The sequence below is a fragment of the Homo sapiens genome, chromosome 1 (assembly GCF_000001405.40).
Source record: "Homo sapiens chromosome 1, GRCh38.p14 Primary Assembly".
Classification (NCBI taxonomy): domain Eukaryota; kingdom Metazoa; phylum Chordata; class Mammalia; order Primates; family Hominidae; genus Homo; species Homo sapiens.
This window is the reverse complement of record NC_000001.11, coordinates 163,162,752-163,184,587: the sequence shown is the minus strand read 5'-3', so window position 1 is coordinate 163,184,587 and position 21,836 is coordinate 163,162,752. Positions and strand designations below refer to the sequence as shown.

Genomic DNA, 21,836 nt, shown 5'->3' with positions numbered 1-21,836 from the left:
TTAACTTATCACTTCTGCAAAGTCCCTTCTGCCACCATGGAGGGCGATTTGGGGATATAACTTTGGCCATCTGACTTGTTCCCCTTTCTCCTTTTATTTCTGTGTCTATGCCTTGCTAACTCTTCTTCTGTCACCTAGATACTTTTTCATTTAACAGACATTGTTCTTCCCTTTTTTTTTTTTTTTTGGAGGGATGGGGTGGTCAGGAAAGCTTCCTAACACTCTCTGTGGCTTCTCCAAGTTCTCAGGTCTTTTTGTTTCCCTTGGTGGTGTGTTTTATAACTGATGGTCTCCTGTCACCTGTGACTTGCATTTGAAGTACATAAAATTACATTTCTATTTGTTTAAAATGGTTCATGTCTACAGTCTAGAAAAGTGTACTCAGCCTAAAGACACCCTGTTGTCTTGTGGCAACAGGGTGACCTTTTGCTTGGTTCCTAGACTTTGTTGCTCCATTAAGCCCAGATCTCTGACTTAGAGACTCCTATTCCAGTAACCACACAATTTAAGGGAGTTTCTATTCTTTAGTCCTCAACGTGCAAGAACCACAGGGCAGACTGCATTGCTCATTGGGAGGAAAAGGAAGGAATCATCTAAGAATGCTGAGGAGAAGTTTTCAGGAATGTGATTTGCATGTACCTCGAAAACTTATGTGAAATTTTTAGAAAACTTATTAGGGAAATGTGAACTTCCATATTAAACATTGGAAGGAATCACTGGAGAGACGGGAGAAAGACAGAAAGAGGGCGCCTGCTTTGGGATCCAAGCCAATACCATTTCCTTCTCTGGCATGCAAGGTCCCAGCAAGATCTCCCTCAGGGAGAAGCTATCCCTTCGTTCTATAAACTCTCACAGAACTTTTCAATTATTCTTGTAGTTTATATCACTTTTACTCAATTTTCCTCAACTTGTCTGTGTATTTGATATTATCTAATTTAATTCTTAGCATAATCTTCCAAGGTAGATATTATCAACATTATTATTTTACCAGCGAATAAGTTAAACATCTGGCCCAAGGACAGAAAATGCACTCCATAATCCTGAGTTTACCTTCAGGTGTGCTAATTCAAAACCAAGGGCTCTTTCTGCCATATCACAGCTGCATCTCAATAAAAGCATCTATACATGTCTCCTTTGTAAAATGAAAGCAATTTCAGGTCAGGAATAATTGCTTATTAATTTTGTAAAACAACCCCATAGCATCCAGTAAAGTGCCTGACAAATGGTGGTTGCTCTATTAAAATCTGACAAGTAAATGAATACATAAATGAATTGAATGCATGAATCAGTAGATTGTTCCTGAAAATAGAAATCTTGGGAATAATAAGTGGCTGTTAAATTTTGGGGGGAGAAAGAAGAAATGGTTTGAGATCTAATTCTATGCTTCAGAAACAGTCCTCTTATTCCTCATTGTTATGTTATTTTCCTCAGCAAACTCTTTTAAAAAGCTGGCAAAGATAAATATTGACTAAGTATTGTTGTTTGTAGTAATGAATTTGTATCTTTTGTGTAAATGTATTATGAGAGGACACATTAAAGTTCTGGGAACTGTAGTTTTATTAAGTGATGTAATACATGTTAATGTTTATTAAGATCTCAATTAATTTTACATTTCTCCTCTTTCCCTCCCTCCTTCTCCAATACCTTTTACTACCCCTTTCATTTATATTTTTGTGGTATATAAAATGAGTTACTAGTGCCATGTACAATAAGAAACTTTCAGTCTATAAAGTCCCGCAGTATAATTCAAAGCAGGAGGACATGGAGACACTCAAAGACTTTGAATGACTGCAGTGTTCAGAGGAGCTCTCATGGGAATCCCTTCTGACCCCTCCACCTTTGGAACTCAAAATAAACCATAAATGCCTGTCTTCCTTGACCTGAGGACAATTTTCCCACTATTCATTATCTGGCTTCCAAAATGAATTGCCAAAAGTCCAGCCATCCTGCCAACAACATTTGGAATAAGATGGGAGAATTTAAGGTCAAAGAGAAATAAACTGTTTCTGTCTTGTTGGTCTTGTCCTTCCACTGTCTCCTTCCTTACCCCCAGTAACCTACTCTGAGGGATAGCATGTCAGAGACAGCCCAGAAAAGCATGGGAAATATCTCAATTTCCACGGGAATCCTTGAGTAGGGAGTGGCCAGTACTTGGGAAAAACAATACTCTTTTAAAAACTAAAGTAAAATGACAGCACCAGGGAGGTGATAATACAATGTAATTGAGCTGAACTAGGCAGCAGTGGAGGTCTCCACACTTGCTTTCTTTGTCACTCCATAGGAGTTCCCAATGAAGAGGCCAGCAGTGTATCTTCTCTTTGCTATCAGAATTGGTTGCATTATTATGAGGTGGAAATCTTCTGAAAGGAGTTTACCTTGAATGCTAGTCAAATAGATCTTTCTTGAGCCTATCCTATCCTATCCTATCCATTTATCCATTCAATTAACATATTATTAATCAACACATACATGCAAGATACGGTGATAGGGATAGGACAAATATGATAGTGACAATAATAATAATAGGTAACATTTATTGAGTATTTATAATACTATACACCAAGTTCCATGCTAAACCTATTAATGCATTAACTTATTTAGCATCGCAACATATCTATGAGTTAGAAATTCTATTATCACCATTTTTACATAGAAAAATGAAGGGTCGGAATTTAAATTAAGGGTTGGAATTTAATTTGTCCAATGTCACTCTGCTGGTAAGTAAGAGTTGGAATATAAACCCAAGCAGTGCGGAGCTGTGGTCTTATCATCTATGTCATCCTAAGAGTTAAAGCAACTTTACGGTACTTAGTTATTTTTAAGGTTATTTAAAATAACCTTCCTTGGTCTTCCTTGGGGAGACCAAGGAAGTAAGACAAGGCACCCATCCTCAAGGAGCTTGCTATCTAACTGGGAGTACATACATATGGGACTCTTAGGTATACATTTACAAAAAGCTAGAGTCATTCCGTGAAAACGTGCTATCCATAACTTGAGAAGAAGAAATGTGTTCTGTTCTTTGCTCTGTAACTTACTGGCCACGAGAACTTGGAAACATCTTTTAATTTCTGTGAATCTCAGTTTTTCCACTTTTAAAATGGGGGGATGCAAATTAAAAGCTCCCTGAGGCCCCTTAAATATGCCTCTGTTTTGTAATTTTATAGTAGATAAGAGAGAAAGCAGTCTGGGATGGAGTAGTTACAGAGGTTTCAAGAAAAGAGTGAGACTTGTTCTGATCCTGGAGTATTAAACTGGCATAGAGGTGGAGGGAGAAAAAGATGGTGTGCTTGGGAGATACTGAGGAGGGCAACAGGAGTAGGTGTACATGTGGTTGTGGAGAATAATGGGAAATAAGGTTAGCAGCTGAGGATGTTAGAAGGCAGAAAGTGATGTTTGAAGTAGATATGGTAGATCAGTGGTTCTCAAAGTGTGGTCCTGAACCAGAGATGTGAATCCTCAAACCCCACCTCAGACCTCCTGAATGAAGAAAAGCCAGAGGCAAAGGTTGCATACCATATGATCTTATGTATATGAGAAAAAACAAAACTATAAGGATGGAGAACAGATCAGCGGTTGCTAGGGATAAGAACAGGGGGGCGGGCGCGGTGGCTCACGCCTGTAATACCAGCACTTTGGGAGGCGGAGGCGGGAGGATCACGAGGTCGGGATATCGAGACCATCCTCGCTAACGCGGTGTAACCCCGTCTCTACTAAAAATACAAAAAATTAGCCGGGCGTAGTGACGGGCACCTGTAGTCCAAGCTACTCGGGAGGCTGAGGCAGGAGAATGGCGTGAACCCGGGAGGCGCAGCTTGCAGTGAGACGAGATTACACCACTGCACTCCAGCCTGGGCAACAGAGCGAGACTCCGTCTCAAAAAAAAAAAAAAAAAAAAAAAAAACAGGGTAAGGGCTTTATTACAAAGGGGCAGCATGAGGGAATTTCTGGGGTGACAGAATTGTTCTGTATCCTAACTGTAGCAATAATCTGTGTGTTAAAACTCGCACAATTGTACACCCAAAAAACGTGGGAATAAAGAAACTTTGGGGTGGAGCCCAGCTCTCTGTGTTTTAACCAGGCCTCCAAGTGATTTGGGTGTACACTGAAGTTTGAGAACTACTGTGGTTAACACAGAGAACCATTATAGGTGAGGAGGAAATTGTCTCTGCAAGGCTGGTCTGATAGGGAGTGCTGAAGGCACTGCAATAGGAAGAGGAAAATGGGCAGGTGGGATGTTACAGTAATTCAGACCTGGAGAAGGGTGGTAAATATAGGTATGAAGAAGCAAGGACACATTTAACAGGATTTCCTTGTCTGGGCGCAGCGGTTCACACCTGTAATTCCAGCACTTGAGGAGGCCGAGGCGGGTGGATCATCTGAGCTCAGGCATTTGAGACCAGACTGGGCAACATGGCAAAATGCCATCTCTACAAAAAATATTAATACAAAAGTTAGAAGAATTGGTTGAGCCCAGGAGGTGGAGGCTGCAGTGAGCCAATATCATGCCACTGCACTCCAATCTGGGTGACAGAGTGAGACCCTGTCTCAAAAAATAAAAATAAAAGGATTTTCTGGGAAGACAGAAAAACACTTGTGACAGATTAGCTATTGGCAATGAAGAAGAAAGTCTAAATAATGTAGATTGGAGCATTTATAAATTATGAGAGTAAGGAGAATATTACAGTTACATAAAAATGGGATATTGGGAAGAAGGGTTGAGTAAAAAGGAATACATGGTGCCATTCACAAGGCATTGAACACCTCAGGTCCTTGATTGCTCTCATTTATATAGTAAATATATTGAATGTGATCCTCTTGAAATCTTAATTTTTTATAGCTGGAGGAGCTATTAGAGGTTTTCTCACTAAACTTATTTCCTTTCTCCCTTTCTCTTTTTCTACCTTTTCTTTTTTGGCAGAAAACAGGAGAGCTCAAATAACATATTCAAGATCACCCATAAAAGTACTGACTAAGTTGATAATAGGATTTAGTCAAGGGCAAATCTTTTCCTGTTGTACTGTTTTGTTCTGTTTTTCTCTATTTCCAATTGTTATGCTCTATGTTACGTTCTATGTTGACAGCTGTCATTTTTTTCTGTTAATAATCTGGACAGTTTCCTTCATTGGCACAGGACTTTCTGTAAGTAATAATAATAATAAACCTTGCCACTTATGGAGTACCATAGTACATGTGCTGGGCACTAATATTAGTGTTTCACATATAGTAACTCACTTAATCACAAGAGGCTTATGAAATAGATACCATTATTATCTTCATTTTACAGATGAGAAAACTAAGGCAAGGTAAGGTTTAAAAACTTGCCAAAAGTCACACATGTAGTAAGATGAATCGGGGCAGTTTGCCTCCAATATCCAGGCCCTTTACCACTATGTCATTCTGTCTCTTGCTTTAAGAAAACAAGAGTTTAGTTTTGGTATTAATTGGATTTTCTAAGAGTTCAATGTTCCACTTGACTTTCTCTCTAGGAACAGTCTTTTTAACGTGTATCGTATTTGCTTTACAAGCTTCCAGTTACATAATCTGAGACAGGATTTTTGCCACAGTTGGGAGTTGGACATTGTCTCTCTCAAATGTGGGGAAGATTTAACACAATTCAACACGTTACTTTTGACTGTAGTAATAGAATAGGGATCTGGAAAGTATCTTATGATATTGCTTGGACAGATCCAGGTGGTCATATGACTTAGTTATCCAAAACAGCTGGTTGCTAGTCTTTTCTTGATGACTTTTCTTCTGTAATGGAAACTTCACCACATTTATTGTTCACGATTTCCATGGTTTCATCACCATTTTATGGTAAGTTCTCCTGAACACTTCCTGTTTAAGTTTAAGCAATCTTTGTGTGTGTGTATGTGTGTGTGCTGGGGTAGGGGCCTTTCATGCTTATAGATGGCTGGGTTTTGAAAATTTATAAATGCATCATTATTTATCAGTTTCTTGTTCGAAGCTTCATAATCTCTTGAAGCTAGAGCCCCTTGTGTGGGTTTAGGTATCGTCTTGGTTAAGGGTAGGAACCCTGGTGCTTTTAGGATCAAGTCTCATTAGGCGTACTACATTGTTGTACCCTTCTGTGCTCCTACCACCTCCCTGGACTCCTGAAAATGCATAAGTGGCTAGAGAAGATGAGGATTTGATTAGTTATAGAACCCTAAATCCCTGTCCTCTGACATTTTCTCAGGGATTCTCTCTTTTCCCTATTTTTCTGCTTCTTTTATTTATTTATTTTTAAATTTTTAATTTTTTAAAAATTCTTTTGAGACAGAGTCTCCCTTTTGTTTTCTAGGCCCAAGTGCAGTGGCACCATCTCAGTTCACTGCAACCTCCATCTCCCAAGTTCAAGCTATTCTTGTGCCTCAGCTTCCCTAGTAGCTGGGACTACAGGCACGTACCACCACGCCTGGCTAATTTTTTTGTATTTTTAGAAGAGACGGCGGGGAGTGTTCACCATGTTGTCTAGGCTGGTCTTGAATTCCTGACCTCAGGTGATCCACCCGCCTTGGCCTCCTAAAGTGCTGGGATCACAGGCATGAGCCACCATGCTCAGGCTTTCTGTTTCTTTCTTTGCCACTCATCAAACACAGTAGTCTTTCACTCCTTCTCTCTGGGAACAAGCTGGCGTATCTCAGTGATTTTGGGGTTTTGGAAAACAAATACCAAAATGGGATACTCTTGTCAATTATCATTTGCTTTTGACGTCACAACACAACTCCCTCAGAGGCAAGAAAGCATGAAATGCCTGGCAACAGTCTTTAAAGAGGAAAAATTACATGTGGAGGAATATATGCATTAACACCCGATACATTAATATGTATTTAAGCTATTATTATTATCTTTAAGAGTTGCTACAGATCACTTGTTTTCTGCGTGTTTGCCGTGGAGAGGGGTGACTGCGTGATCATGGGTGGAGTCCTTGCACCTAGATTAAGGAATTGTATGATTAAATGAAAGTCTGGTGACCTCATGTGGTCCTCCACACTTGGATATATCAGGGATCTGGGAGATAAAGTGTGTTTCTCCCCCAGGTGACTGAAGAAGAGGATGCCCAACAAGTAGGGCCAGGTTTATGAAAGCAAGACCACCCTATGCATAATGAAATCCAACTGTGCCATACTTTTTGGACAAATACTTATTAACAAGCTCATGTAAAATGTTTGTATGACTTATTCTATAATCTCAATAAAGTCCTAGTTCTTTCTGCCCTGACTACACCTTGTATGAAGGGTTTGCTCAGATACAATAATATTCTAAGCTGGGATTCTAATATCTTTTAGTTGATATCAGGCAACAAGAAATCTTAGCATCAATGTCTGGATAGAGGACTTTGTGGGAATCAAGCCACAGGTGCCATCTCTAAGGGTTAAGAGTGAATTACATTTTCAAAACCTTTCTATGGAATGGGTGGGGGTTTCCACAATAGTGTCACAAGTCCAAATAACTTGAATATTATTGTGACTGGAGAGCCCATTATCTAATGAACAAGCCTACGTGTAAACACTCACTTCTAGCACGCGTCCTGCTAGTTGGCAAAGCATCTGATTTCGATCTCTATAGGGATAGCTGAGGCAGCTACAGCAGCCACCTTTGGAGCATGGTCTTTCTAAAGAGTTTGCTGACCACTGTTGAGATGTGAATGCTTGATTAGGTCAAGTAGCTGAATTAACTATGACATACATCATGTCATATTGTAGTGATTACAACCAGCTAAAATTTTTTATTTCATTGTTTTTCATTTCTTGTTTTGTATCTGTCTTGCCCAATTTAAACATAAACTCAATGAGAGGACCTTATCTTTTTTATTTCGTTGAAAATATCAAAACATATTATAGCGTACATCATGTGGTAGGCATTCAGTAAACATACTTTTAATTTGTTGAATAAATAAGTGAACAAAAGGAGAGGCTGCACAGGGTTTTCTTTTTCTTTTTTTCTTTTCTTTTTTTTTTTTGAGACTGAGTTTCACTCTTGTTGCCCAGACTGGAGTGCAATGGCGTGATCTCAGCTCACCACAACCTCCACCTCCTGGGTTCAAGGGATTCTCCTGCCTCAGCCTCTGGAGTAGCTGGGATTGCAGGCATGCACCACCACTCATGGCTAATTTTGTATTTTTAGTAGAGACGGGGTTTCACCATGTTGGTCAGGCTGGTGTCGAACTCCCAACCTCAGGTGATCTGCCCGCCTTGCCCTCCCAAAGTGATGGGATTACAGGCGTGGGCCACTGCACCCGGCCTGCACAGGCTTTTCTCTGTCCACCATGGTCCTAAGAAATTAAGTCAGCTTATTTAAACAAGAACCCTGGGAGACTTCCTAGTCTGTTACTGCAGGTTACTTGTGATGGTCCCTTACTGAAAATGAGCTAACCTGGGGTAGCTGAGGTAACAGCTTGAACATAAAAATGAAAAGAGTTGTTATTAAGACAATCTGCTGAAGGGAAACGTTAGAACATATCAAGAGTTGAAAGGGTATAATAGATAAACGTGCTTTCTGTGAATATATTTGACACAAATGACATTGTCAGTTCCATCTTTTCAGCCATCTTATAGTTTGAAGGGGCTTATTATGTAATTAATCACTAATATGAGTGAAAGCCTAAAACACTGCTAGGGAATGATTCACTTGTGTTTAGAAACAGAGCTTTCATTTCTGAAGTCATATCATAACACATTAATACTACTACTACTATATATTCCTTAGCATTTTCTTCACCTTTTTATCATTTGGAGCACCCGAGGAGTATTTCATATTAACTAACCATAGAGTCATTTTCCATCATGTATCATATATTAATTATATAAATCAAGTAAGAAAATAAATACATGTTTTAACATGATATCACACTATTACTAAACTTCTCTTTCATATGCTGTTAAAGCACAAGCAATGAGTGAATTTTCTGTAGTTCAAACTGAAGTAGGTAAATTCAGAAATAGGGTAGATGGTAGATGCCAAAATGATAGATTCTTTCCACCACAATCACCCGGCACTGCCTTTCTCTGCAGTTAAGAGTCCATCTTGATTTTAGGGGCCATGCTGAGGATCCTGGCAAGTTGAGGATTTCAGCCCCAGAACTGAGCCGACTTTCCACTAGCATATTCTTATACTCCCGCTAAGGGTTTTCAAGATCATCCATTACCCTGTCTCGGAGCCACCTACAAGGAGCAAACTCCACTGATATGAAGTTTTAAATGAGCAGCCAGGAAGAAAGCTGTTCCAGCTTTCAGCAAAATGCATTCTCCCTCTTGATAGGCCCGCGCAGGGACCCTCTGGGCCCTCTTCCCTCTGTCAGTCTCTGCTGGGTTCTACCTCTCAGATTAGTTCTCAGCTGCACGGAACTCAGAGGAGCTCCTCTCTCCTCTGGTCTCTAATCCGGCAAATGTCTTACTCTCGGCTGTGGACATTGACGGCTAGCGAGTGTTTTAGAAGCTTGTGTTTCTCTTTCCTGGGTATCTATTCCAGACATGTTCTTTTTAGTCCGTGGAAAGAAACCTCGTAGTGTTTCTTCAGAAGGAAGCAGCCTGGAACCAATCTGCTCTTTGCTCAGTTCTTTGCTAATGCTCACGCCTTCCCACAGCCAGCAGGGGGCATCTGCGACACGGATTTAAATTGCATTGAATTTAAATTGGATTATCCGATGTTAGGACACCTCTTTTGGAAATGTGTTGTAAAAATCTTGCCTTATGCTTCTCAACTCTCCTCCCTCTCTTCTTCCTTCTCGCTGTTCCTGACATATGTCTGGCGTCTACAGCGAAACCTGTTTGTGATTGCCGAAAGCCTTTCAACCACAGGAATAGCCTATGCCCCAGGGCTACTTCTGTTTCTTTTAAATCCTGAAAAATTATGGTCTTATAATTGATTCTTTTCAGATTGCTAGTGATTGCAATTATCCTCCCTGCCTCTTCTCATCAGCATATGTCCTATATAATATGAGGAACTAAATGCCCCACTTGACCATTCTCAATCTCTTTCAAGGACAGAAATTGAATTCACTTACTTTATAGTGCTTATAGTCATTTAATGGTGTTACCTCTGTCCAGTTAGCAAATTAGAGACATCTTAGTCCTCCGTGACTCATTCTAAGCTGCACTCCAATATTTCACCTACTCCACCCCAAAATGCAGCTTTACTATAACCTAGCAATTCAGTTCATTCATTCATTTGCTCATTCATCAATTTACATGGCAAATCTTTATTGAATGCTATTAAATGCCAGGCCCTGTGCTAAGTGCTGAAGCTGTAATTGTGAACTAAACAAATGTTCACTCTGCTCTTGGGGACCTGACACTTTAATGGGAGAGATAGACAATATTCGCATATACATATACATATGGAGATATAAATGCCAATTGAAAAATGCCATGAATGGAAAATTCAGAGGGCTCTGAGGATATATTAGGAGCAGTTTTTAGGTATATAATATCTCCCATTGCACATTGGGAAGTTAGGGCTCCTTGAGGTTACAGTCTATGTTTGTTTGTTTGTTTATTTATTTATTTAGAGATGGAGTCTTGCTCTGTTGTCCAGGCTGGAGTGCAGCGGCATGATCTTGGCTTACTGCAACCTCCACCTCCTGGGTTCAAGCAATTCTCTGCCTCAGCCTCCCGAGTAGTTGGGATTACAGGTGCCTGCCACCACGCTTGGCTAATTTTTTTTGTATTTTCAGTAGAGATGGGGTTTCACCATCTTGGCCAGGCTGGTCTTGAATGCGTGACCTCATGATCCACCCACCTCGGCCTCCTAAAGTGCTGGGATTACAGGCATGAGCCACTGTGCCAGGCCTACGTTCTTTTGTTTTTATACTCCACCTACCTTCATCAGTGATTGGAAAAATATCTGCTATACAGTTTACATATATGTGTTTTATATTCAATTGTTCCAAGTGTCTCTGAAGCGAGAAACAACTCTGTAACCCTTGAAACACCTAGTATAAGATTTTATATATAATTGGTTCTTCACACATTCTGGTGGAATATAATTGTATTTCTCAAAATTTAACCATGTTTCTGTTTTTAGTGATTGCTTGTGCTGGTTTTCCACACTTATGCATCTTAAGGTGATAACCCATTAAATTCACGCACTAGCAGGAAGGACTGAGGTGGTCCGTGGCCTTTTGAGTTTTGACTTCCCAGCCAGCCAGCATACCCACACAGGGAGCAGATTTAAAACTGCAAAGCCCCAGAATTATTCAAACCGTTTTCAGTTTGGAATCACTAATGTGAGTCATCTAGACAAAGAATTATCTTCCTCTGAGCCTTTAATTAAACTTTAACTCAAGCATTTTCAATTGATTTTATTTCAAAACAAGTTTTTCTTTGTAAAACAAAAGAATAACAAGAGGAGGAAGAGAGATGACAGGAGATAAAAATAGTTTCTTGTTAATGAGCATTAATGTAATGTGGCCAGGAAAAAATGTCTAGTGTGCAGTCAAATAGAGCCCGAGACCAAGCAGGAAATTGTAAACAAATTAGAAAATTATCTTCTCTGGATGGTGTTGTTTTTGATGCCAAATTAATGTCAGATACATTCAAGTTTATCTATAAAGGGAAAATAGTTTGGTAAGCTGGAGCTATTGTTTTGTTTGAATTTTTCATTTGGTTTGTTTTATTTTCATATGTCTGTGAGGCTATGGTAGGGAGGAAAGGGAAACGGGGGATGAAATAATATTCCAGGGATTCTTGAGGAGTAAAACAAATCTAACATTATTTAGTCTTGTGAAAAGAGTGCAATGTTTAAAGTGATTTGAACTTCAGCATTTCTCAGCTCCTCGGCCTTTAAACTTTACTGTTGTATGAGCAGAAATGCAATAACATTAGTCATTCCCTGAACAATGAACTCCTAATTAAATTTAATAGACTTCACAACTTAAATACTCTTAACTTTATAATGCTCTATACTTGAGCCTATACCAAGCCAGAAACTGAAGCCATAGAAAGAAGTGTTTTCCAAAGCACTGAATATCTTTTCTCCCTTACATTTCCAGGGCAAATATGAGGAAAAGAGTAACCTGATGTTCTGGTATGTTAGTCTGCTCTGAAGAAATGGAATACGATTTTCTCTTGGCAATGTTATAAATGATAGTTGATTTCTAGATCATTCCACAAAAAACTCTATTTAAGCAGTGATATAGATAAAATAGTAGTAGGGTACTGATTCATCCTGGTTTTAAAAGGATTTTGTGGTATGTCTTGAGCATTTAACTACCATTTATAAATGGTGTTTTCACAGAAAATGCATTCTGAAATAGTAAAAGAAAATGTGAGATACATTGTGTTCATATGATAGGATGCCACGTCTTTAAATACAGACAGTTTTTGAAAGGCGCTTTTCAATAGTTTTATCTCTTGTTTGTTTTCATACCAACTTTGCTGCAAGCTAGGTACTGTATAGAGGTCCCTCCAACATCCATCCCTCTATCTGGAAGGGAAGCAGAGTAACTTCTTTGAATGGGCTTTCTGCTGTCTCACATTTCACCCTCTTGCAGTACAAACTACTTTTACATCCCTTAAAATAACACGCACCCACCCTTCCCTCTGGAACGCTCATTCTTTTCTAGCCCAACTGACTGACTGCTGCTCATTCTCTAGTTCCACATTTGCCTCCTCTGAGAAGTTCCCCCTGATCTACCGTTGTGGACACTGGTGCTCCTCTGTGAGAGTTCTGCTGCTTTCTGGACAGTCTGTCTTTAAGCACCCGTTTGTGATTGTTTCCACATCTAAGACCTCTCCGGGCTAAAAGCACCTTGAAAGCAAGGAGCAAACCTAATGGTGTTTGTATATTTACTGCATACTGCCTGACACAGTAAACATGACCAATGAGTTAATCAGTAAGGAATAAATGAATTAAGTCACTAATAATTCTTTTACATACATTCGATTTCTTTGTTCTAATTATCCCTTAATCTCCAACTATTATTCTTGCATCAGGAAATCAAACACAAATATTTTTCTGCCTTTTACAAAAGCAAAAGGCTCAAATGGAGCAAGAAATAGAAAAAAAAGGAACTAAATTTGAGAGGGGGGATAAAGTTAAAACCAAAACAACCAACCAAACAGAAACCTAAACATGAGAGACTTTCATTACATCATTGTTATCTAAATATTGGTGAGTGGACTATTGTGTCAAGGTTGAAACTGAAAACAGTTGCAGCATGGATTCCACAGATGGGTGCACAGGAAGGGAGGGACCTATGGAGCCAGGAGGATATGGATTATGGATGAAGGTTTTCACGGACTGGGTGGGATACTGTGTCCTAGTGCACCTTGCATCTCTGACTGTAATACTGCACATTAGTCAGCAGAGGGTAGCCACAAATATTGCATGCATTTCTCCTCCCCACTTAATGTTTTCTTCATTTTTCAGATAAATATAAAATTGGCAATTCTTGTCCCCAGAGGTAGAATATAGAAGGTTGTGGGTGTAGTAATTCCTTAGTAACTTGCGGGGAATTTTTTGTATGTTTCAATGTAATGTTCGAAGCTAGGGAACATGGGCGGTGGGTTGGAAAAATGATTGTGTAGTTAGAACTAACTTTAAAGAAGCCGTGTTCTATGCCAAATGCTGTGCTAAGTGACTCACATGCATTAGTATATTTAATCATCTCAAAAAGTCTTAGGATATACTATTTTATCAGTCCAAATTTCTAGGCAAAAGAACTAAACATTAGATAATTTAAGTAACTTGCAACACTTGGAATTAAAGCGACACTTATTCTAATTCACAATGTTATATAAGCTCCCTCGGCAGAACAGTCCCAGTTTTTACCCTAATGCCGTGCTGAGCTTGATCTGAGGTACTATGGGACCTGAGTTGGCTTTAGTCAATGAGAGGGTCTTAGGGAAAGAGTGAAAGCAGAACAAAATGAAAAGGAAATGACACTGTAGAGATGACTGTTCCTAAAACATAGTTTTCAAAACCATATTTACTAGCCTAAAGGAAAATATGTTATAATTAGGCATTTATGGAGTTTTTATAAGTTACCACAGGTTTCCTTACATTTTTTTTCCCTAATATCCGTAACTGCAAATCTTAGGCATTTACTTAAATTGCCTCATCACAGCCTCCCTGTGAACAAATGAGGAAAGTATGTGTACAATAGTAAAATCCTATTTGGCTGCCATGTGAACTTCACCACATCTCTTTAAAACTTTGGTTATGATTAGCATTGACTGGGAGGTAAATGTTAGCAGATTTGTAAAGAACAAAATCAAGATATTTTTAGTTCACTTTGGCAAATATTTTTAAATGTTTACTATATTGCCAAGCATTGTGCTAGGCACAGGGGTTAAAAAGTATTTAAGACTAAATTCCTACCATCAAAAAGTTCTCATATCCAAGTAGAAAAACAGAAACATAAGTCAATGACCATAATGCAATATGATGAACCCTGTCTTAAAAGCATGGGTAAAGTGCTAAGGTGACTGGGAAAGGGTAGCTTTTTGGGTCTCCCAATATTCAACAACTTGTCCTATGGATTAATATTTAAGATTTGCCTGGTGCTTTTCTAGTATAGAATTGTGATAAAGTGATGGATAGATTAGAAGGTTAGTTTTAAAACTGAGCGTGAAAATAGTTGCATCCCGTGATGGAGGAGTACCCAGAATTCTGACCATATCTACTCACTAAAATACTGAAGATACAAAGAAGCAGTAAATTCTGCTGTAGTTTGTTGTTTGGCAATTAGTACTCATTTATCAAGGCTTACTGCACATAAGATAGTCTGACAGCCATAGAGAACAATGGATAAGGAGTTGGAAACAAAAATTTTATAGAGAAATAAATAATCAAGTGGAATGATTTAATTTTATAGCTGGAAATAGCTCAAAAAACATCTAAAATGATGGATAACGTCATCATTTTACAGATGAGGGAACTGAGGTCTGGCAGTAAAAAGTGGTCATTTTACTTCTCAAAAGAAGATATTTATGCAGCCAAAAAACACATGAAAAAATGCTCATCATCACTGGCCATCAGAGAAATGCAAATCAAAACCACAGTGAGATACCATCTCACACCAGTTAGAATGGCGATCATCAAAAAGTCAGGAAACAACAGGTGCTGGAGAGGATGTGGAGAAATAGGAACACTTTTACACTGTTGGTGAGACTGTAAACTAGTTCAACCATTGTGGAAGTCAGTGTGGCGATTCCTCAGGGATCTAGAACTAGAAATACCATTTGACCCAGCCATCCTATTACTGGGTATATACCCAAAGGATTATAAATCATGCTGCTATAAAGACACATGCACACATATGTTTATTGTGGCACTATTCACAATAGCAAAGACTTGGAACCAACCCAAATGTCCAACAATGATAGACTGGATTAAGAAAATGTGGCACATATACACCATGGAATACTATGCAGCCATAAAAAATGATGAGTTCATGTCCTTTGTAGGGACCTGGATGAAGCTGGAAACCATCATTCTCAGCAAACTATTGCAAGGACAAAAAACCAAACAGCACATGTTCTCACTCATAGGTGGGAATTGAACAATGAGAACACATGGACACAGGAAGAGGAACATCACACACCAGGGACTGTTGTGGGGTAGGGGGAGGGGGGAGGGATAGCATTGGGAGATATACCTAATGCTAAATGACGAGTTGATGGGTGCAGCACACCAACATGGTACATGTATACATATGTAACAAACCTGCATGTTGTGCACAGGTACCCTAAAACTTAAAGTATAATAATAATAAAAAAAAGTGATCATTTTTTCCAAATGTCATATATCTAACAATAGTGAAGACCAGAGCCCTCAGAAGACTAGTAGGCAATGCATGCAGAGTTCTACCTGGGAACTCTAGCATCAGACAGCTTGGGCTCACATCTGTCTCCACCAAATACTGGCTGGGTTATCTTAAGTTATTTAAACTCCTGTCATTCCGTGACCTCATCTGCAAAATGGAAATAGTACTATAGTGTCTGCAGATATAAAATGAGAGAACACATATAAAACAATAATGAGGATTAAAATGTAGTGCAAATTAATGAAGGACATACTAAGAGCTTGATAAATGCTATTTATTAGAACTTATATATCCTAATTTCTGCATTAGTATTCTTTCTGCCACAAGAAAAATAAAAGTGAAATGGGATTTTGTTCATTTTTGTTTCTCTGACACAGGAAGAAATCTCTTCTTAAAATCTGTATGCACATGTGGTGTCCTCATTTCCCCTTGTGTCTCTTCTTTCAGGGCCAAGGAGATTAAGATCAAGTTGGGAATTCTCCTCCAGAAGCCAGACTCAGTTGGTGACCTTGTCATTCCGTACAATGAGAAGCCAGAGAAACCAGCCAAGACCCAGAAGTGAGTCATGAATATGGATTCCACTCATTTCCTCCAGAGGATGGCTATTTTCCAAGTGTTTAGCACCATTCCTCATCTGTAGAACTACCCCCTTCAATTACTCATTAAGGATCATAAGAGCCCTCAGAGAGTTGGTTTGCAAAGAAGCTCTTTTTTTTTTTCTCAACTATCTCATGTCTGGAGCATCTTATTGAATACAGGCAGAATACATAAAAAATAAAAGATAAGACTCTGCCTTATTTTTGAGAGACAGACATACTTATAAAATAGACAGACCATACTTATAAAATGATACCAGCCACTACAGCAGTGTGGTAAAAATACCTGCTCATTTACTGCCTTGGTAACCACTCCTGATCCAGTTAATTATGAGCCCTGGATGCTTACCTGCTGATGAACTATCTAAAGCTGCTTCCTCAGCAGGGTGATGTGAGAACATTTCCCTCAGAAAGATACTAAGGACAAGGCAGACAATTTCAGCCTAATCGTTCCTTCTCCAAGATAGTGCCCCTCAAGTTCCAACAGAGGAACAAAGTCTGTTACTTAAGTGAAGAACGAATACTGGACTAGCTATTTCTATTTAATGTACACCAGGTATTTTTCCCAATTCATAAATTAATATTCTTGATTGGATTTCTGCAATCCTCCCTCATCCCCATTCTCCTCTCCCTACACATTCCTCCTGTCAATTTAGGCATCCTAGGGAACTATTACTTCTAAAGAGTCATGATGTTATGGCAGTGAATCCAGGTCTCACAGTGTGCATTGGCCCCGCTTTAACTCAGGAACACGACTCCCAGCATTCCCATCGTTCATCATCATCCCTGCTAGCTGCAGAGACTGTCACTACCTAGACAGATACACTCCATCTTCCCATTAAAACAGAGATATCCATGAAAAATCAAGAAAGGAAAATGGGAAGAAGAAAAGGCCAAGGCATTCAAATTCCTTCGCTCTGCTATCTTAGAGCTTTGAGGATATCACAGAAGTGTGGTAAAAATATAGGAGTCCCTTTAACCTCCATTTCTCTTTTTAAATGGAATATTTGTGTAAATTGGCCAGCCTGTCCTTTGTCCAAATGACCTCAACTTACCATAGCTGGATTGATTGGGAGATAAAGAGATGAGTTATTCTTTCTCTTTTTTTAATCTTTTTCCATTAGCCTAAGTGAATATTTCCATTCCTCCTTTTTTTATTACTTCAAAGTGATTCTAAACAGGAAGTGAGGCATAATTGCGTTTTCTGCATTTGAAAAGGAGAAGCTAATTCAGTGTGGAGCAGCAGGCACCAAGCGGTAGTGGAGAATAAGAACCACATTTCATAGCAGCAACAGATCAAAACATCTATTTTGAAGTAAACAATGTGACAATTTATTGATCCGTTGGTATTAACTTTAAAAAAATAGAGTTCTACATTTCCTGCTTTAAATCTCTGCTTTAACATTCACATAGACCCTTAAACTGTTGAGATTAAAAGGGATTCAGAGAGAAGCTGTTCTGGAAGAAACCCTGGGGCTGACCATTTATTGGATTATTTACTTCTCTTGTCTTCCATCCCCTTTCTTCCTCCAGAAGCCTAAATTGTTTTGGAAAATTCCTTCATATCCCTAGAGAATAATTCTGTATCTATTGCATTTTCAACAGTGACCAATAAAAAAGTTTCCCACTCTCTTCTGAATCCACAGACCCCATCCCACCTCCTCATGTTTGGCAACTTTCTATGCCATTTATCTGACAGGAAATACTGTGTTCTGCATAAGCTCCATCTCTCTCTCTCTTCTCTCACTTTAAAATTTCTCTGTATTTTTAACTCATGTTCTTCTTTCAGAGGGGAAAATAATTCTTCTCTTGATTGGAGGTATTTTTAACCCTTCTCATATTCTTTGGGTTACTGACATCAGTAGAATCCGTTTTTTTAAAAGTATTTTCTATTTTTTAACATGTATTTTTGAGTTCTCACTTTTAAAAACAAAAATGGACCATTGAGAAAAACAAATAAGTGCTTATATTCCTACCCCCTAAAGACAGCTCTGTTCCCCTTTTTGCACTTTTAGTAGCCCTTTTTCCCTGTGGACCCTCTTCCCCAGGAGCAAACAGGTACCCATGTTCCATGCTGAAAAATTCTCTTCCCGCCTTTCTCTCCTGCTTCTATGCCTTTCTCTTACTTTTACTGACTAACTGTAGAAACAGAAGTCTGTACTCATGGCTTTCAGTCTTTTCTGTATCTCCTTCTTAACCAGCTTCAACCTTACTACCTCACCCGAACTGTTGTTTCTAAGGCCCCATCTGTGACTTGTCTGCAGCATTTGACAGTTCACCAGTTGACCTACTGTTTTTTTTTTGTTTTTTTTTTGAGACGGAATTTCGCTCTTTTGCCCAGGCTGGAGTGCAATGGCATGATCTCAGCTCACCGCAACCTCCACCTCCCGGGTTCAAGCGATTCTCCTGCCTCAGCCTCCTGAGTAGCTGGGATTACAGGCATGTGCCACCACGCCCGGCTAATTTTGTATTTTTTAGTAGAGACAGGGTTTCTCCATGTTGGTCAGGCTGGTCTCGAACACCTGACCTCAGGTGATCTGCCCACCTCGGCCTCCCAAAGTGCTGGGATTACAGGCGTGAGCCACCACGCCCAGCCCAGTTGACCTACTCTTAAAACTCTCTTCCTTAACTTCTAGTCCCGCATTCCCCACCTGCCTTCTCTTTCTCTAAGTGCTCCCACTGTTGCTCACCCTCTGGATGTGAGCATTCCTTAAGGCTCTGCTGTAGGTCCTCCTGAGAAACAATAGACAACATTAGCCAACCACATAGGTTTAGTTTGTGATAACTGTTATCATGGCTTACAAAATCATCAATTGTAAAATGTTAGGAGCTGATATAGATATTCATATAGCTTATTTTATATTATAAATGTCTCCCTTTCCCCTGCCTATGTCAGCAATTTTTAACCCCTTTTTCTGGTTTGTTGTTGTAGTGATCATTTTATACTAAAGAATGACCTCCACACATAAACAGTACCTAGCCTGTGCTAGTGGAAAACAGTTACAGAAAGTTGTCCTGCATACGCTCACCTGGTTAGGATGAGCCTGGTTGTGAGTACTAAAGATCTATGTACAATTTCAGGCCCGCATATGGATGTCAAAAAATGACATGTTTTGCTTGTTCTTAAGTCTGTATGCCCAACCGTGATGCCCAGGTCACCACTGGTTATCAGGTAAGGGCTCAATAAATGCTCATAAACTTGAGCCTGGTCATGAGCAGACTGTACTGTTGGGCAGGAAGGGAGAGGGGACTAGGCACATCTAATTGACAGTAAATAACTTGAATTTTCTTTTCCTTGTTAAGAGCACCAATGTGTAAGAACATTTTTAAGACATTTAAGTATGTGCCAGGCACTGCGCAGATTAAAAACCAAATCAAACCAAAACAATACAAAAAACAAAAACAAACAAAAAACCCAACCACAGGCACTTGAGGTTATAGCTAGTAAGTGCCAGCATTGCCAATAGCAGTAATAATGGTTCATGGGACTGGTCATTAAAATCTGAGTTTGGGGTTATTTGTGGCTTTCATCAGCCAGGCTAACTCAAGGCAAAACCATCATTCATTTACTTATTAATCTGACACACATTTATTGCAAGGTGGATTGATGCTGTAAGGGTACACCACAGGATAGGGTGAAATGGGAAAAGTTCTCTGTGCATGACAACCTATACCCTTCGGCAGTGAGTGCCTCATTGTCATGTGAGAGATTCAGTGAGTAAAAGTGGTAAGAGTAGAGTAAAAAGAGAGACAGCGCTTCCAGCAGAGATGGCCACTTCCTGGGCCAGGTGGCATTTATACTAGGCATTATAAAACATGTGGTTAATCATCTCTATAAATGTTTATTTTGAGTTTCATTTGAAATAGCTTTCTCTCTCTCCCCCACACTCCCACGCACAGAAACTCCATACCCATCCTCTGTGGTCAGCTATGACCTTGCAAACCAGAACATTTATTGGTCATTTAGATCTGCATCTATCTTGTTTCCAATGAAGTCAGACCTAATGAGGACTGGCAAATTCTGAGAATAAGGACAGGATGAACCTCTGTTAACTCCTAGGCTGGTAATCAAAATGCTGGGCTTCATGCTGTGGGGGATGTATCCTACTTGACTGTGCCCTTAAATCAATTTGGACCAATTTCACCCCCAAGCGGGCTCTGCACATTTCCTTTTCAGGAATTTAATCTTGGCTGTGATGTGCTGCTGTTATTGACCATTAGCCTGGTTCCAACAAGGCCATTTGGGAAAAATCAGATTGGATAACATGCTTAAGTTTGGTATACCTGCTCATGTCATTTCTTCTTCCTTTGCTCCTCTATACTAACCAGAGGAAAAGTGGGGCAGGAAAGTGATTTCATTTAATGAGAATATTTATAAAATCAGGAGATCCTGTGAGTAAATCAGCCTTCCTCTTGCTCTGAGCTACTTTCTTTTGTCTAATAATTTAATGTCCTGCTGCTTCTGTCAACAATGAATAGGGACTTGGTGGGTGTCTATTGTGTGCAAAATATTGAACCTACTATAGTGAAGAAGGTAAGATGTGTAAGACCTTGTGCTAAACATGTAGGCATGAAATAATATGTACATAAAACAGTTCTCCACTTGCAGTAATATAAAAGAGCCAAGAGGAGTTATTGACCTCTAGTAGATAGGTCCTTTTCTGGTTAGAAATAAAATGAACAAGAATGCTATAGAGACATAATTATAATCACCCCGTTCATGCCATTTTTTTTTCTTTGTGTGCTCCTTTATACTAGCCAGAGGAAATGGGAAGAGGGATGGGTAGCTCACGTGTTAGAAATAAATTTCTGAGGCATCAGTATGTTTTCCATCTATGATGCCTGTATTTCTAGCCAGCAAAACAGAAATCACCCAAGATTATTTCACAAGGTTTGTTACCCTCAATTTGGCAAGTTTAACTTGCAAAGAGTGAACACATGAAAGTTTATGAAAAATCATATAATCAGGACTCACAACCGATGCATGTTCTGCAATGAGGAATAGAGAAGTAAAGGGATTATTCACAATACTTTAGCCCAAAACCTACTGCCGTCTTGGACTCCTTACATAAATAAAGTGAGGCTGATTCTGCGCCTGGGACAGCAAAATGAAAAGTAGAACAAGCAGCTGTCATATCAACCAAAGCTGCAAATCTGAATAATTAACCACCCCCCCCCCCGAAATATCATTGTATAAAAACTAGAAGCAGGAATTTTTTTTGATTGCCTGGACAGTTGATAAACAAATTAAGAGCTAAGGAAATTCCAGTTTAGGAAAAACTGGCCTTAATATTCTAGTAAATGCTTTGTCAGTCTGTTTTGATTTGGCAACGAAGAACTCACATCATAATGCAAGAGTTCGAGCTGGGTGAGCCGAAGAGTGTGCAGTCAGCCATTTTTCCCGGACAATATCAGCTCCACTTGACACATCCTGCTGTGAGAGAAAAATTGGTGGTTGAGATGAAATA

General features: G+C 39.3%; 1 protein-coding gene and 1 long non-coding RNA gene across 13 annotated transcripts in view, besides 1 other annotated feature; one reads left to right on the top strand and one right to left on the bottom strand.

Moving 5' to 3' along the window:
• The window catches only part of RGS5 (regulator of G protein signaling 5), a 179,437-nt gene that overhangs the window by 137,148 nt on the left and 20,453 nt on the right, over positions 1 to 21,836 (top strand). For 11 of the 12 annotated variants that reach the window (NM_001254748.2, NM_001414472.1, NM_001414477.1 and 8 more), the window contains one exon: positions 16,220 to 16,330. The exons of the other annotated variant lie outside the window; for it this stretch is intronic. Coding sequence is in view for 7 of the 11 variants with exons in the window: in NM_001414472.1 (NP_001401401.1) it covers positions 16,220 to 16,330 (111 nt within the window). In the remaining 4 variants the exon portion in view is untranslated. The remainder of the gene's footprint in view (positions 1 to 16,219; positions 16,331 to 21,836) is intronic. 12 annotated transcript variants of the gene reach the window in all.
• RGS5-AS1 (RGS5 antisense RNA 1) overlaps positions 1 to 21,836 on the bottom strand; it is a 51,349-nt gene that overhangs the window by 28,436 nt on the left and 1,077 nt on the right. Inside the window, exon 2 of the long non-coding RNA NR_110699.1 lies at positions 21,712 to 21,802. This is a non-coding gene — a long non-coding RNA (RGS5 antisense RNA 1). The remainder of the gene's footprint in view (positions 1 to 21,711; positions 21,803 to 21,836) is intronic.
• Positions 6,813 to 6,982: an enhancer, noted in NCBI's record as "experimental_592 CRE fragment used in MPRA reporter constructs". NCBI's record gives its function as "activates a minimal promoter by MPRAs in K562 erythroleukemia cells, with activity observed for both the introgressed and non-introgressed 1:163147481 variant alleles {active_cell/tissue: K562}" and the evidence as "EXISTENCE:reporter gene assay evidence [ECO:0000049][PMID:34662402]".